The sequence below is a fragment of the Homo sapiens genome, chromosome 16, assembly GCF_000001405.40.
Source record: "Homo sapiens chromosome 16, GRCh38.p14 Primary Assembly".
Lineage (NCBI taxonomy): Eukaryota > Metazoa > Chordata > Mammalia > Primates > Hominidae > Homo > Homo sapiens.
Window position 1 is genome coordinate 66,399,195 of NC_000016.10, and position 17,508 is coordinate 66,416,702.

General features: G+C 45.6%; 1 protein-coding gene and 1 long non-coding RNA gene across 6 annotated transcripts in view, besides 2 other annotated features; both read left to right on the forward strand.

Moving 5' to 3' along the window:
- CDH5 (cadherin 5) overlaps positions 1-5,590 on the forward strand; it is a 38,094-nt gene extending 32,504 nt beyond the window's left edge. For all 5 annotated transcript variants that reach the window (XM_047433470.1, XM_047433469.1, XM_047433471.1 and 2 more), the window contains 2 exons: positions 1,577-1,822; positions 3,458-5,590. In XM_047433470.1, the coding sequence (XP_047289426.1) occupies positions 1,577-1,822; positions 3,458-3,975 (764 nt within the window). In that variant the 3' untranslated portion in view covers positions 3,976-5,590. The remainder of the gene's footprint in view (positions 1-1,576; positions 1,823-3,457) is intronic.
- Positions 7,312-7,606: a silencer, noted in NCBI's record as "tiled region #12004; HepG2 Repressive DNase unmatched - State 1:Tss". NCBI's record gives its function as "represses a minimal TATA promoter and a strong SV40 promoter by Sharpr-MPRA in HepG2 cells {active_cell/tissue: HepG2}" and the evidence as "EXISTENCE:reporter gene assay evidence [ECO:0000049][PMID:27701403]".
- Positions 7,318-7,387: an enhancer, noted in NCBI's record as "active region_10937". NCBI's record gives its function as "activates an Ori minimal core promoter by ATAC-STARR-seq in GM12878 lymphoblastoid cells {active_cell/tissue: GM12878}" and the evidence as "EXISTENCE:reporter gene assay evidence [ECO:0000049][PMID:35858748]".
- LINC00920 (long intergenic non-protein coding RNA 920) lies at positions 9,330-11,707 on the forward strand. Its single transcript, NR_046242.1, has 2 exons — positions 9,330-9,620; positions 11,086-11,707. It is a non-coding gene; the product is annotated as a long intergenic non-protein coding RNA 920 (long non-coding RNA).
- The last annotated feature ends 5,801 nt before the right edge of the window (positions 11,708-17,508 follow it).

Sequence of the window (17,508 nt, forward strand, 5' to 3'; positions counted from 1 at the left end):
CAGGGTGGCCCGTGTGATGGCATTAGCAGCCAATCAGAGCTTCTGAGGAGTAGGTGCTGACTTAAGTGATGATGCTGAGTTGACTTCATTCCAGCCACAAGTAGGCAAGCTTCCATGGCCTCTGAAATTTCCTCAAAAAAATAGAGAAAATTCCCCTTGGGTTTAAATAGAGTGATCCTTCACCTAGCATGGGATGGAATTCCTGCCTGTCCCTAATGGGCAAAACTATGGTGGATGAGGATGGCTGTATTGCAGCAGCCCATTACTACATTTAAGGAAGACTGGGGAGTGGGGTCCCTGAAAGTTGGAGGCAGACTTGAGGGATCAACCACAGACCAGTCCTTAAGGAGACTCCTGTGGGATGGAGAAGGTGGCCCTGATGTGTTGACAGTCAATGACAGACCATTCAACACCCAGTTGTCATTAGAAGTAAATAATGTGGCAAAAATGTCACCCCCTCCCCAATGTCCACCTCAGTCCCATCTCAGAGTGGGGATCTGCAATACAGTAGAAAGATTCAGTGCCACCCCAAAGACACCCATATACAATAGGAGGCAAGTCTGTTGGTGTCAAATTCACTTATATCATGAACATCCTGCATGTCAAAATCTCTAGTTTCTCCCATAAGTGTCAATGACATATAGTTTATTTTGAAATATAATAGACTTAATGCTGAAATGTAATTATGAATAATGAAATATAATTGGCTTTCATTCAAAATCGAAAAGATGGATTCCTGGGTTTTTCAATCCAGTGTGTGGAGCCTGTGTAGCTAAGTAAATCCTGGAGTAGGGAGTTCCTGGATCCTTCTCTGATCGTTGACATTACAACCTCCTGGGACCCTGCAAAAGGCAGATTATCTGGCCTCTGCCCAGAACCACTGAATAAGAAGTGTGTGTGAGCATAGGGGTCTGAAAATCAGCATGTTTTAAAAGCTCCCTGGGGGATTCTTGGGTACAGGAAACCACTGATTGGATCTGGGAAGGTGGGCGGGGCCAATATTTGGACAAAAGCATTTCCCAGTTCCAAACTGCCTGGGAAACCCGCAATTCTATATGTAATCATTTTCTCTGTGCCCCAAGGGACATGTCCATTGTTTTTACTGTTTTCAACAATGTAACAATGGATTTTCAGAGAGAGCAGAAGCTGCCTTAGAAATTAGCCTAATGCTAAAAGACTTTTTAAAACTTTATTTTTCCCCGCTGCTTGTCAAAGCTTGAAACGGAGCATTAATTAATTGAGCTGAAAGAGAAAACCTCCTGTTACTGGAGTGGGGTTAGGGAAGAGGAAGGGGAGAGGCATCAGTTGCCCACAAATACAGAAAGCAAAGGATTTGACCTTCTTTCACCAAGGCATCCTTGGAGATTGGGTCAAAGCAGCTGCCCCAAAATATCCCCTCTGTGGCGGAACAGACCTGCACTCAGATGGCTGAAACAAGAGGCGCTGGGTGCAAAGGGCAGAAAAGCAGCCCAGGGAGCACGCAGGCTGGTGCAGTCAGGGAGGGCTTCCTGGAGGAGCCAGGTTTCCCCATCTGTGCAGATGGCAAAGCCTGACTCCGAGGCCTTGGTGTTTCCAGATAACACGGCCAACATCACAGTCAAGTATGGGCAGTTTGACCGGGAGCATACCAAGGTCCACTTCCTACCCGTGGTCATCTCAGACAATGGGATGCCAAGTCGCACGGGCACCAGCACGCTGACCGTGGCCGTGTGCAAGTGCAACGAGCAGGGCGAGTTCACCTTCTGCGAGGATATGGCCGCCCAGGTGGGCGTGAGCATCCAGGCAGTGGTAGCCATCTTACTCTGCATCCTCACCATCACAGGTCAGTGCTGGGCAGGGTGGGGAGAAGACACAGTGGGTGGAAGGGGATGGAAGGTGTTGGGAGGCGGGGAGGCTTCACAGGAAAAGTAGAGGCCAGAGGTTCAGGCCCAACCCTGCCTCCAATCTGCAATGCAGCCCTTAGCCAGTTCATGTGCAGGATGCAGGATGTGAGCTCCAACCACCTGGGTGCTCACGGTGGGGGATGAGCCAGGGAGGAGGAGGGGGTGGGACTCAGGACTCCTCCCCCACGCATCAGGCCAGTATCACTTTAAAATAACTTATACATAACAGTCACTCCTTCCACTTAGATATTTTCAGCATTTACTGAGTGCCAGGCATTGTTCTGGGCATGTATTTACATAAAACCTATTTTTGAAAAAGGAAAAAGGATCCAGTTCTAAAATGGAAAGTTTAAAAACTTCTAGTTTAGATTGTCTCCACGTGCTTTCTTTCTTTTTATAGAATTCCTCCGGCCTTGATACATATTTTTTTTCTTGTTTGGGCCTCAGAAATTTTAGGAGCATTGTAGGCCTTAGTTTGGATTTCCCAGGGAGCAGCCCTGGGATGAGGATTGGGGTGGAAGTGGTTTATTTGGGAGGTGGTTTATTTCCCTGGATACCTCCTAAGGCAGAGGGGGAGTGAAGCTGGGAAGGGAGGAGGCCAGCGAAGGTGGAATGTTCCCATCGTGAGGAACTGGAGCCTCCTCCCATAGGGTTGCCGGGAGGCAGCGTGGGGCCACCCCCCAGCATCATCCCACCGGGGGAGCACAGTGATGTACTGTATCCTGCATTTCACTCGCCATGAGACGCAGCAGGGGCTGATCCTCCAGAGGAAGCCCTCAGGTGATTAGAGATCACCCTGGCACTCACGGCAAGGCCTGGATACAGCCACGGGGCACCTGCAATACAGATTCCAGGCCTCTCCTGCCTGTAGCCCTCCTGAGAGTGGCCTCGGTATGCCCGACTTCTGGGACTTCTCCAGCAGAGATTTCTCCTTTATTAATAATTAATGATGATGATGGCATCCCCACCACAAATAGAATTGCATTTGACCTCACAACCATCCTCCCAAATATAAACAGAGCAGGGAGGTCATCATTTCCATTTTACAGACAAGGAAACTGAGGCTGGGGGGCAGGGCTGCCTTCCAGGGCATCCCAGCTTTACTTATGTATATAGTAGTTTGTTCAGTAACTCAAAGCTAGAAGGCCTGAGCCTAATTTTAGAAGCTCTCTGCACTTCAAGGTCTACCCCTCCTTAGGGATCCAAGACCCTCACATAGCCACACCCCTCAGAGATTCCCACAGGCTGAGCATCCGCACCTGCCCCTGGGTGTGGGGGAACGGCAGCGGTGGGAGTGTCGGGCGAGGTGGGGATGAGTATGCGGGGGAGCGGCAGGGACGGGGTGTGGGGTGTAGGGGGATGGCGGGGATGGGGGTATGGGGGAACGGCGGGGATGGGGTTGCAGGGGAAGGGGGGCCAAAAGGATGGGGTTGCAGGGGAAGGGGGGGCCAAAGGGATGGGCATGCTGGGAGGGCGTGGGGGTGGGGTTGCAGGGGGCAGTGGGGATGGGGGCATGGGGGGCCGCCCAGGCCCCCAGCCTTGTCTGACTCTGCTGCTCGGCTCCCTGGCTGCAGTGATCACCCTGCTCATCTTCCTGCGGCGGCGGCTCCGGAAGCAGGCCCGCGCGCACGGCAAGAGCGTGCCGGAGATCCACGAGCAGCTGGTCACCTACGACGAGGAGGGCGGCGGCGAGATGGACACCACCAGCTACGATGTGTCGGTGCTCAACTCGGTGCGCCGCGGCGGGGCCAAGCCCCCGCGGCCCGCGCTGGACGCCCGGCCTTCCCTCTATGCGCAGGTGCAGAAGCCACCGAGGCACGCGCCTGGGGCACACGGAGGGCCCGGGGAGATGGCAGCCATGATCGAGGTGAAGAAGGACGAGGCGGACCACGACGGCGACGGCCCCCCCTACGACACGCTGCACATCTACGGCTACGAGGGCTCCGAGTCCATAGCCGAGTCCCTCAGCTCCCTGGGCACCGACTCATCCGACTCTGACGTGGATTACGACTTCCTTAACGACTGGGGACCCAGGTTTAAGATGCTGGCTGAGCTGTACGGCTCGGACCCCCGGGAGGAGCTGCTGTATTAGGCGGCCGAGGTCACTCTGGGCCTGGGGACCCAAACCCCCTGCAGCCCAGGCCAGTCAGACGCCAGGCACCACAGCCTCCAAAAATGGCAGTGACTCCCCAGCCCAGCACCCCTTCCTCGTGGGTCCCAGAGACCTCATCAGCCTTGGGATAGCAAACTCCAGGTTCCTGAAATATCCAGGAATATATGTCAGTGATGACTATTCTCAAATGCTGGCAAATCCAGGCTGGTGTTCTGTCTGGGCTCAGACATCCACATAACCCTGTCACCCACAGACCGCCGTCTAACTCAAAGACTTCCTCTGGCTCCCCAAGGCTGCAAAGCAAAACAGACTGTGTTTAACTGCTGCAGGGTCTTTTTCTAGGGTCCCTGAACGCCCTGGTAAGGCTGGTGAGGTCCTGGTGCCTATCTGCCTGGAGGCAAAGGCCTGGACAGCTTGACTTGTGGGGCAGGATTCTCTGCAGCCCATTCCCAAGGGAGACTGACCATCATGCCCTCTCTCGGGAGCCCTAGCCCTGCTCCAACTCCATACTCCACTCCAAGTGCCCCACCACTCCCCAACCCCTCTCCAGGCCTGTCAAGAGGGAGGAAGGGGCCCCATGGCAGCTCCTGACCTTGGGTCCTGAAGTGACCTCACTGGCCTGCCATGCCAGTAACTGTGCTGTACTGAGCACTGAACCACATTCAGGGAAATGGCTTATTAAACTTTGAAGCAACTGTGAATTCATTCTGGAGGGGCAGTGGAGATCAGGAGTGACAGATCACAGGGTGAGGGCCACCTCCACACCCACCCCCTCTGGAGAAGGCCTGGAAGAGCTGAGACCTTGCTTTGAGACTCCTCAGCACCCCTCCAGTTTTGCCTGAGAAGGGGCAGATGTTCCCGGAGCAGAAGACGTCTCCCCTTCTCTGCCTCACCTGGTCGCCAATCCATGCTCTCTTTCTTTTCTCTGTCTACTCCTTATCCCTTGGTTTAGAGGAACCCAAGATGTGGCCTTTAGCAAAACTGGACAATGTCCAAACCCACTCATGACTGCATGACGGAGCCGAGCCATGTGTCTTTACACCTCGCTGTTGTCACATCTCAGGGAACTGACCCTCAGGCACACCTTGCAGAAGGCAAGGCCCTGCCCTGCCCAACCTCTGTGGTCACCCATGCATCTTCCACTGGAACGTTTCACTGCAAACACACCTTGGAGAAGTGGCATCAGTCAACAGAGAGGGGCAGGGAAGGAGACACCAAGCTCACCCTTCGTCATGGACCGAGGTTCCCACTCTGGGCAAAGCCCCTCACACTGCAAGGGATTGTAGATAACACTGACTTGTTTGTTTTAACCAATAACTAGCTTCTTATAATGATTTTTTTACTAATGATACTTACAAGTTTCTAGCTCTCACAGACATATAGAATAAGGGTTTTTGCATAATAAGCAGGTTGTTATTTAGGTTAACAATATTAATTCAGGTTTTTTAGTTGGAAAAACAATTCCTGTAACCTTCTATTTTCTATAATTGTAGTAATTGCTCTACAGATAATGTCTATATATTGGCCAAACTGGTGCATGACAAGTACTGTATTTTTTTATACCTAAATAAAGAAAAATCTTTAGCCTGGGCAACATAGGGAGACCCTATCTCTACCAAAAAAAAATTAATTAGCCAGGCATGGTGGCAGGCACCTGTGGTCCCAGCTACTTGGGAGGCTGAGATAGGAGAATCACTTCAGCCTGGGAGATCAAGGCTGCAGTGAGCTCTGAACGCACCACTACACTCCAGCCTGGGTGACAGAGTGAGATCCTGTCTCAAAAAAAGAGAAAGAAAACCTTTGAGATTCTTCCATTTTTAGAGCTGAGAGAGCACTTGTGAAACACACACACATGCACAAACATATAAACATGCATACAGGCATGCACATGCACACACAAATACACATACACACACACAAGCACACACACACCACCACCACCATCATCAGAGGAACTTACAGAAAAGGGGACATTTATAGATTCCTAGGAATATGCCAAAGCTTTTCAAAGCCTCTATGGACAGCTCATTCCTTAACTTTTCCTTTTAAAATCTTTTTTAGCTTCTTATTTGCCCCAGCCACTATCACTGCCTCAGGCAGCTGCAACGTTAAACAATTGCCACTGATTACTTTCAACAAATAACCTCAGAGAAAAGGCTGTGTGTATTGAATGGGTATCAAGTCAGGTCAAAAGAACACAGCCTTGCAAGTGGAGTTTCTTCCAGGGAACTACCAGACAAGTTGAATAATGACAGTTATCTGGGAATTGGACTTTGCAGAAGCTCCAACCCTGTTCTGATCTGTTTGTCTCTAGACTGCTGGTTTTCACCATGATTATGAATCCACTGGGTTTCAAGGCTACCACAGGTCTCGGGAGAAGGGGATGGGACTAGGGCAAGTTAAAATGCCATCAAGCTCTGCCAGGTGTGGTGGCTCATGCCTGTAATCCCAACACTTTAGGAGGCTGAGGAGGGAGGATTGCTTGAATATAGGAGTTTGAGACCAGCCTGGGCAACATAGTGAGACCCAGTCTCTATTAAAAAAAAAAAAAGGACAATGCCATCAAGCTCACTGTTCTTACCAATATTTAGCTGTTTTAAAAAAAAATAGGTACACCCTGGATTATTGCAAGTTTTTAATTAGTTTTCAGAGTTCTGAAAAAGTTGGTTTTGACAATTTTGGCCAGTATTCTCATTGCTTTTCTCGGGGAGAAGTGCTCCTTACTCAGCCATTCCTGCCAATGCCACCCCTTCCAGCTGGTTTTTAAGCTGTTTTCCCACCTGTCTGAAGTACCTGCTCCCTGAACTCACGGTTGTTCAATCCCTGGAGCCCATGAGATCTGTTCACTACTTCCTTCTCCAAGAAGCCTCCCCATCCCCAAGACACCTCCAGATGAGACAATCTCTGTCGCTCCAACCTTCAAGAGGGCCTGGCTCTGAGCTCTTGGCCACCCTGGTCACCTCCTCTGCTTGGAACCTGTTTACCCTAAGGTAGGAAGAGTGATCTTCATAGTGGAGGAGGGCCTGCCTCTGAATTTGTACATTTTATGGTACCCCAAACCCAGTGGCCTGGAATCTTCTGACCACACTGCACATGCCTGCTCCAGCCAACCCTGGGTCCCAAGCCTACCGAAAGTGGGCAAGGGGAGCAGAGGCTCAGAGCCCTTCCCCTCCCCCAGGCCAAACCTGTGAAGCCAGCATGACCTTCCTCATTTCACAGATGTCCAAGGTGGGACCCAGATGGGGATGAGATGTGGCCAGAGCCACACAGGCAAGTTAGGGACAGAGTTGGGCCTAGACACTCTCCCATTCCCCTAGACCACCCTCAACCGTTGCCTCCTGGGTCCCAGGACAATGCGAATCTACAGACTTCCCAGACCTGGGGGGCTAGAGGCTGAACCAAGGAGCATCGTCCGCGGCTGTTGGGTTGGTAATGGGAAATGACCACTAGGGGGCGCGCTGTGTCAATAAATGCTCAGCCAGGGCCGGTGTCTGCGAGCTCCGCGGCCGGGCATCCTGGCAATCAATGGACCGCAGGTTCTGGGGGTTCTGGACCTTGACAGAGAACCTGGTCTGGCCCTACAACCTGCCTGGGCTCTCGCTACGCTCCTCCGTCGCACCAGGCTCTGATGGGGTAGAGAGAGCCAGGGACCTAGTCCCCCACCTTCCCGAAGGAACGGGGTACCCGCTGTCTCCAGCAGCCCAGCCAGCACCAAGAATCTCGGCTCTCCGAGAGCGGCTGACCTTGGCCGCCGGATCTTTGGATTTGTGAGGGTCACAGTGCACCACACCATCCCTCCCTGCACCGGGTGGCCCTGCCGCAGTGTCCACGCCTCGTCCTCCTGCTCGGCTCCGCCCTATTTTCGCCAAGCCAATCCTGGAAGGTTGACTCTGGGCCAGGAACGGAGCTGCAGTCCCTGAGCGCCCTGGTTTCAAGGCGCCTCCCAGGTCAAGAATCCTTCGAATAAATCCTACTGTCTTCAAGGTGACTGGTAGAGTCTCTGATGTTCACAATCAAAACCTCAGACCACCCAGCAATCCCCCTTCTAGGGATTGCTAAGGACCTCCTAGGGACCTAAGATGCACTGGGTGTATCTGCCTCAGTAAATTCAGTGTTACTTACAAGCAAAAGATTCGAAACAATGTAAATGTCCAACAATAAGAGATTGGTTAGGTAAATTATGGCAAATCCACAAAACACTACCGGGCAACCATTAAAAGTCATGTTGGGACGTGGTGATCTTGAGCTAAATTCAAGGTCAAGGCTAAAAAGCAAAACCCAATGAATTATTTACAGTCAGATCTCAATTTTTTCTAGTAGATATCCATCTTCAGGTTATGAAATTATGAAAAATTTTTATTTTCTTCTCTATTCTGTGTTTTCCAAATTTCCTATAAGTAGTATATATTATTTTTATAATCAGAAAAAAAAAGTTATCTTAATGTTGATTTCTAAGCACTTTTTTGTCACTGGAAAACAGTGAATTGATAAGCAAAATTTATCCCCAAATATCATTTTTTAACACTAAAACTTTCTGTTTTTTTAAAAAGTTGAGTTCACTATTAATGCAACAGACTTTTAAGAATTACCAGCCTGACCAACATAGCGAAACCCTGTCTCTACTAAAAATACAAAAATTAGCCAGGCATGGTGGCAGCTGCCTATAATCCCAGCTACTCAGGAGGCTGAGGCAGGAGAATCGCTTGAACCTCAGAGGCAGAGGTTGCAGTGAGCCAAGATCGCACCACTGCTCTCCAGCCTGGGCGACGGAGTGAGACTGTCAAAAAAAAAAAAAGAATTAACTGAATTGTTTTTGAAGTCATCACCCTTGAATCCAGAAAATCTGTTGTTAAAGGGTTGATTAATTTTGTCTGTTTGCTTACTTCTGAAAGCATTTCTTTGAATTTCATCGGTGGGAGTCTAATCCTGTTAACCTTTGAAGTTAACAGCAAATTTCCAGCCACTTTCTGGATCAGAGCAGTTACAGTCTATGATATGAGGGAAACCCGGTTTTTCAGCCAAGTGACTTCCATAGGATTCTGCAGTGCATAGAAATATCCACCATTCCTCTTCCTCAAAGATAAGAGAAACAGCTGGGGCCTATTTCTCTCAGCCCATCCAGAGGTTATTTGGGATGTTTAGGAAATCTGTGTATCCCCCAACACTTAAGGAGACTTCACAAAACTTTGCAATGTGGTCTTGTAGCCTAGGGCATAGAAAGCACAGTTATCTTATAATATTCCTGTATAATGGTTGCCAAGGGGATGTTTAATGTTGTTACGCAGGAAGCTGTGCTGAACAAGAGTCTTTTGCTTTCAGATCAGACTCTGGGCAGGAAGTGAATCTTCACAGGGAAGGAAGCAACAAAACTCTGCCTTTGGCTTTTGCTGGCTGAGCAGGGAAAGGCCTATAGACACAGGGCATTGGGCAGGAGCTAGAACAGCCCTCCCTAGAGCACTACATAAAGCAGCCAATATTTTGCAAAGCATAGGGAAGAGTGAAAGTCATCCGGGGCATTTGCAGACACAGCACTAAGAACTTGGTGACAACAGCCCTGAAGCAAAACAGCAGCATGTACTGGGCAGGGCTTGGGAGATAAGACAGGACATCTGAAGCTAAACATGGTGAGTCCATTTCCTGGGCTTTCTGGAGCTATGCAGGGTGATAGGCTCATCCTGGCTTGCCCAGGACTCTCGTCGTTTTAGTACTAAAAGTCCTGTGTCCTGGAAACTCCTCAGTCCCAGGCCAGGTGGTTCAGAGTCAGCAGTCCTGGATGAGTCAGTGCTCTCCTACAAGCAGAGTTAGTTTCTTAACCTCCCTGAGTCACAATTTTCTCATTTGTAAATAAAATAAGGTAATATACTGCCTACTCTAAGTTTTTGTGAAAGTCAAAAGAAATAAGTCTTGAAAAGGTAATAGAACCAAATTTGGCACATAGTAATTATTCAATGTTAACAGGAAGGAGGGAAGGGAAGGAGGAAGAAAATGTTAAAAGATCGTTTTTTAAGGTAAAAATCATAACTCTTTACTCATATAAAATGAATATGTATCAAAGGTTTTATTTAACTCGTTAGTTTATGATAGAACCTGTCCAATGTTACAACCCACTGAAAGGAGTATTCAGAGAATCCCACAATAAAGCCAATAAGGAATGCTGAAATCAACTTACATACAGAAATAAAACTGGTCTATCCGCAGGGTAAAGATAGACTGCATTCCATTGGACATAATCATTTGTACTCCCATGGGCAAGAATAATTTGCATTAATCTAAGTTTTCTTCAACTTACAGAGTTGTAAAATAGCTCAAAGACGATGAAAGGCAATAACCTGGAAAAGTGTACCGGACAAAAAACCCAGTAATTTTTTTTTTTCCTATTTGAAAGTCTTTCATAATCTTTCCTAACAGAAGAAAAGAAAGAAGGAAGGAAGGGAGGGAGGGAGGGAGGAAGGGAAGGAGGGAGGGAAAGAAGTGTGGGTCTAATAGGGTTTGGATATGGTTTGGCTCTGTGTCCCCACCCAAATCTCATGTTGAATTGTAATTCCCAGTGTTGGGGGAGGGACCTGATAGGAGGCGACTGGATCATGGAGGTGGATTTCCCCCTTGCTATTCTCATGATAGTGAGTGAGTTCTCAGGAGATCTGGTTGTTTAAATGTGTGTAGCACTTCCCCCTTCACTCTTGCTCTCCCGCTCTGCCATGTGAAGAAGGTGCTTGCTTCCACTTCACCCTTCCGCCATGATTGTAAGCTTCCTGTGGCCTCCCCAGCCATGCTTCCTGCACAGCCTGCGGAACTGTGAGGCAATTAAACCTCTTTTCTTCAGAAATTACCCAGCATCAAGTAGTTATTTATAGCAGTGTGAGAACGGACTAATACAGGGTCTTTAGTGAGAAGTTTATACTGGAACTAAATGAATCATATGTACGGTGGGTTTATGTAAGAATGGCTAAATGGCTAAATGCAGCAGGGTGTATTCCTTATCCACTGCTCTGTAACAAATTTCACAGCTTAGAAAAATATGCATTTATCACTTCATAGTTTCTGTGGGCTGGGCGTCCAGGAATAACATTGCTGGGTTCTCTGCTTCAGGATCCCCTCTGAAAGCTACAATCAAAGTGTCATCCACAAAATCTTATCTCAAGCCTTGACTAGAGAAGGACCCACTTCCAAGACCACAGAGTTGAATGAATTCAGTCCTTGCAGCCCGTTGAACTGAGGGCCTCCCCAACATGCTCACCTGCTTCATCAAAGCCTGCGAGAGAGAGAGTCCACTAGCAAGAGGACATTGCAGTCTTATCTAATGCAATCACTGAAGTGACATCCTGTCACCTTGGTCACCTTTTCTATTCTATTCATTATAAATGAGTCCCAAGTCCTGCCACACTCAAGTGGAGGGGATTACACAGGGCTGGAGTACCAGCGGTGGGGATAATTTGGGGTCATCTTAGAGTTCTTCCATCACACGGGAATTCTCAGCTCACCAAATCTGGGATTCCGCATCTGGCCATTCCTTAAGCTGAAGGCCTGGCATATTTTTGAGTGTCCATTTGGATCAGCTAATAAACCCAGGGTTTGTCTACTGGCTGGAGGAGTAAGAACTATAAGGCTAATTGAAATGAATCTACTTAAAATAGTGACCTGATTTTTCTAATAATTACTGGAAGGTAAGGGTTGATTGAGACTTTAAAATAAAACCAAAAATTATTCTAAATTTTTCATATTTTATATAAGAAAGTTTTGATTTTTACTGCAACCATTTTCTAACTCTTAAAATAAAGAAAGGATAATTCAAGTGTTGATATTTTCCCAACATAAATATACAGGAACATAATGTAGCTTACTTGTATTTTATCTTTGATTTACACAAGAGAATTTTTATACAAATATTCCAGGCTCATTAGTTTTCCCAAAGGCTTCTCATAATCCTTTGATATTTAAATCATTCCCTCTTTCAAGTCATTTTTTATCTGCCTTGTCGATACTCTTTTTGTTAATTTGCCCAACTCATCTGGATCTTCCTTTGTCACTGGCTCTGTAAATTTGAGTATTTCTCCAATAATGCTCCTGTCAACTTTATGAAACCCTTTGTCTTTTGCAAGATTTAAAAATTCCCTTTATAATAAGCATTCTACAGTAAGTGAAGACTCACTAGCAAATATATGAGTGATGGATCAAGAGAGACAAAGTGTTAAAAATTGACAGATGCAACTTTTAAAAATGAAATTCTTGGTTACCATCTAACAAAGTAAGTACAGGACCTGTATGCTGAAAACTACAAAACACTAATGAAGGAATCAAAGAAAGTGTAAATAAATGGAGAGATATACCATGTTCATGAATTGGAAGTCTCAGAATTATTAAAATGTAAATTCTATCCAAATTGATCTATAGATTCAACCCAATCACAATCAAAATCCTAACTGGCTGTATAAATTGACAAGCTGATTCCAACATTCACATAAAAATCCAAAGAATGTAGAAGAGCCAAACAGCTTTGAGAAAAGGAGAAAAAAGTTAAAGGATTCACATTATCTGATTCCAAGGCTTCTTATAAAGCTACAGTCATTGAGTCAGTATGGTACTGGCAAAAGGAGAGACACATTCTATGTATCTATCTGTCTATATATCTATGTGAAATATAATAAAGAGTTCAGAAATAGATCCACAAATAAGATCAATTGAATTTTGGCAAAGATGAAAAAATAATTCAATGGAGAAAGGACAGAATTTTCAATAAATGATGCTGAAACAATTAGACATCCATATGCAGGAAAAAAATGTTTGACCTATATGTTCATTTTATACAAAAAATTAATTCAAAAAGAATCATAGACCTAAATGTAAAACATAAAAACTTTTAAACTTTTAAAATAAAATATAGGTAAAATCTTCGTGACCTACAATTAGGCAGAGTTCTTGGAGATGACATCAAGAATTTAATTCATAAAAAGAAAAAATTTATAAGTTGGATTTCATTAAAACTAGAAACTTTTGCTCTAAAAAGAGCAAAATTAAAATTATAAGAATAAAAAGAAAAGCCATGGACTGTCATATGCCTGACAAAGGATATACAGACTATAGGAAGTACTCTCAAACTCAACAGTAAGAAAATAAGCAACCCAAGTTAAAAATGGGCAAAATATTTGAACAGACACTTCACTAAAGAAGATTATATGGATGTTAAATAAGCATAAATAAAGAAGATATATGGATGGCAAATAAGCATAAGATTCTCAGCATCATTACTCATTAGGGAAATGCACATTGAAACCACAATGACATGCCACTACATACCTACTATAATGGGGAAAAAACTGACAATACCAACTGCAGAGCCACTGGAGCACTCATACATTGCTAATGGGAATGCAAAATGGTAAAACCACTTTACAAAACAGTTTGGGAGTTTCTTATAAAGTTATAACACCAAAACCAGAAACAACAAAATGTCCCTCAACTGGTGAGGGGTGCTATGGTCTGAATGTTTCTGTCCTTCCAAAATTTGTAAGTTGAAACCTAATCCCCAATGCATGGGTATTTGGAAGTGGGGACTTTAGGGTGGGATTAAATTATGAAGTCAGACCGCTCATGAACGGGGTCAGTGCCTGATATGGTTAGAATATGTAACTCTTCCAAATCTCATGTTGAAATATAGTCTCCAGTGCTGGAAGTGGGGCCTGGTGTGAGGTGTTTGGTCATGGAGGTGGATCCCTCATTAATGGCTTGGCACATCCCCTTGGTGATAAGTGAGCTCTCACTCTGAGTTCATGTGAGATCTGGTTGTTTAAAAGTATGTGGCATTCCCCCACACACAATTTTGCCATGTGATGTGCCTTCTCCTGCTTTATCTTCCACCATGAGTAAAAGCTTCCTGAGGTCTCCCCAGAAGTCGAGGAGATGCCAGCACCATGCTTCCTGTACAGTCTGCAGAATTATGAGCCAATAAAACCTCTTTTCTTTATAAATCACTCAATCTCAAGTATTTCTTTATAGCAATGCAACAATGGACAAAGGCCGAGCACCGTGGCTCACGCCTGTAATCCCAGCAGTTTGGGAGGTGGGTGGATCACTTGAGGCCAGGAGTTCGAGACCAGCCTGGCCAACATGGTGAGACCCTATCTCTACTAAAATACAAAACTTAGCAGGCATGGTGGTGCACGCCTGTAATCCCAGCTACTCGGTAGGCTGAGGTAGGAGAATTGCTTGAACCCAGGAAGCAGAGGTTGCAGTGAGCTGAGATCACACCACTGCACTCTAGCCTGGGTGGCAGAGTGAGACTCCGCCTCAGAAAAAAAAAAAAGAATGGACTAACACAGTGTCCTGACAAAAGAGGCCCCAGAAGATCCCCATCCACCATGTCAGATATAGCTAGAAGGTGCTGTCTATGAACCAATAAGTGGACCCTCACCAGACACTCAATCTACCAAATCTGCTGATGCCTTTATCTTAGATTTGCCAGCCCCTGGAACTGAGATAAATACATTTCTGTTGTTTACAAACCACACAGTTTATGATATTTTGTTATATAGCCCAAATGGACTAAGACAAGTGAATAAACCAGCTCTGGCACGGCCATAAAATGAAACATTATCGAGCAGTAAAAAGGAAAGAAACATTGATACGTGCAACAACTTGGGTGAATCTCAAGTGCATTACGCCATTTGAAAGAAGTTAGACTCAAAAGACTACATACTGTGTGATCCCATTTATACAATATTCTGCAAAGGCAAAACTGTAGCAACAGAGAACATATCAGGGTTTCCAAGAGTTGGGGAGAAGGGAGGATTGGACTAACAAAGAGAAGCTGCATTAGAGAGACTTTTAGGGTGATGGAACTGTTGAATATCTTAATTGTGGTAGTGGTTACACAAGTCCATGCATTTGTCAAAATCATAAAACTGTACTCCAAAAAAAAAATTACCATATGTAAATTAAAAGTAAACTTTTGAAAGTCATCAACAAAATTTGAAAATAATGAAAAAAATTTGATCAGGGTCTGTCTCATTTTATAAGGGATCAATTTATTGGTCACTTTATTGATGTACAAGGTTCAGGGGCACTCTGTTACTTATTCATTTATTCTTTTTTTTTTTTTTTTTTTTGAGACAGAGTCTCACTCCATCACCCAGGCTGGAGTGCAGTAGCGTGATCTTGGCTCATTGCAGCCTCTACCTCCCAGGTTCAAGGGATTCTTGCGCCTCAGCCTCCTGAGTAGCTGGAATTACAGGCATGCACCACCATGACTGGCTAATTTTTATATTTTTAATAGAGACGGGGTTTCACCATGTTTGGCCAGGCTAGTCTCGAACTCCTGGCCTCAAGTGATCCACCTGCCTTGGTCTCCCAAAGTGCTGGGATTACAGGCATGAGCCACCACACCTGGTCTCATTCATTCTTTGTTTCTAAAATACCTGTTGAACAATGCACTAATGAAATTCCCTTGATTCTGTTCCTAACAGCTCTAGAAGCCCTCTCCGTCTCTACTGTTCCAACCTTAGTTTGAACATTCACTCTGCTATGGTATTCCCACAACTTTTCAGTTGGTTTTCTTATTTCTAGCCTCAATCCCCCCACCCCCAGGCCTTTTCCTGAAGCTACTGAAATGATTTTTCTAAAGCATAAATAAGATCTTACTCTCCCTTGCTCAAAACTCAACAGAACTTTTCATATCTTCAGTGGCTCTCCATTGACAATCAATGGAACCCAAACTCTTTAGCCTGGTACCCAAGGCCCTACATGATATAGCTTCTCCTTGACTTCTTAATCTCTTTATTTTTGTAGCCACCCTCATGCCATACATTCTAGTCAGACTGAGTTATTAGCCTTTACTCAGACATATGGTAGAGTGTGTTATTGGTCAAAATATTCACTGCCCTTCTCTGTGGGAGGATTGGTATCCCTGATGCACTGACGTCAAGCTTGGCCATGTGACTCATCCTGTCAAATAAAATGTAAGTGGAAGAGACTTATGCCACCCCAGAGCAGAAACTTTAAGAACCAATGTATGGTTCTACTATCTCTCTTCTCTCTGCCACCAGCAATGAACATATAACATGAGCTAAAAATAAACCTTCATTGTCATAAGCTACCAATATTTGGGGTTTGTTTGTCACCACAACATAACTTAGCCTAAGCTGACTGAAACACTCTTAGGTTGAGAGCGCCCCAATTATTCACTTTGTAGTCTCTGTGCATAGTATAGACACTTAACTGCATAACTGGCATTCACTACCTACTTGTTGAATAAATGAATACAATGAGTGAGTGAATAAACAAGTGACCAATGAATGAACAAGTGATCTGGGCCTTTACACATGCTATTCTCCCTGTAAAGAGTGGCCATCCCTGCTTCTTCACTTGCCCAACTCTTTCTCAAGTCAAACCTCGAAGATCTCCTCTAAGAAGACTTCCCTGCCCATCTGTCTTAGGCCTTTTGTGCTGCTATAACAAAACATAGACTGGGTAACTTATAAACAACAGAAATGTATTCCTCACAGTTCTGGAGGCTGGGAAATACAAGATCAAGGCACAGCATTCAGTGTCTGGTGAGGGCCTCCTTGCTGCATCCTCACATGGCAGAAAGCAAAAATGCAAAAAGGGCCTAAGCTGGTTCCTTCCAGTCCTTCAATAAAGCACTAATTCATTCATAAGGGCGGAGCTCTTTTGAGTTAATCACTTTCCAGAAGGCCTACCTCTTAATGCCACAACAATGGGGATTAAGTTCCAACAAATGAATTTGGGGAGACATTTAGACCATAGTACCATCCTCCCTCCTCTGCAAGGCATCCATGTATATTTCTGCTCTTGTAATAATTGTCTGTCTCCCTGCTCTGACTTTGAGACCCTAAGGCAGAGCTAGGTTGGCCTCACCTTAGTGGCTCCTGTGCCCAGCACAGTGCCTGGCCCAGAGCAAGTGGATGGATGAATGAACAAATGAGTGAGACAGTGGGGAGTCTGCAGCTCTTCCAAGCAGCCACAGGCCCTCTCCACTCCAGGCCTTTGCAAATGCTCTTCCCTCTTCCTGGAGCACCAGTCCCCTCCCTAGTTGCCTGCCTAACCCTTCTAAATCCTTTAGCACCACCTGCCCCATCCACTGCCCATCCCTGTCACAACTAAGTCACTCCCTCTCCCTGTTACCACAAACTTAACATATCCCTCCAACAGAGCCCTTGTCACATGGTTGAGATCCTCTGTGGTCTGTCTCTCTCTGAGCACCCTGAGGGCACAGATTGCATCTGATTCATCCTATTTCCGCATACCTAACAACAACAAAATCATGATAGCAAAAACAAAAACAATAATAATAATAATAACAACCAACCAGGGCTTGTTGCAGTCAAATTAATGATGAATTAATATTTGATTGAATTAATGAATTAATTTGAATTGGTTCTCACCTCTTCTTCCATTGTCCCTCAGAAAGGCCCAGGCTCATTGGAGGACGACTTTCTGAATGTGATGGGACTCAGCTGATGGACCTTCTTTACCACAGCTGACTTCTCTCTCAGTCCC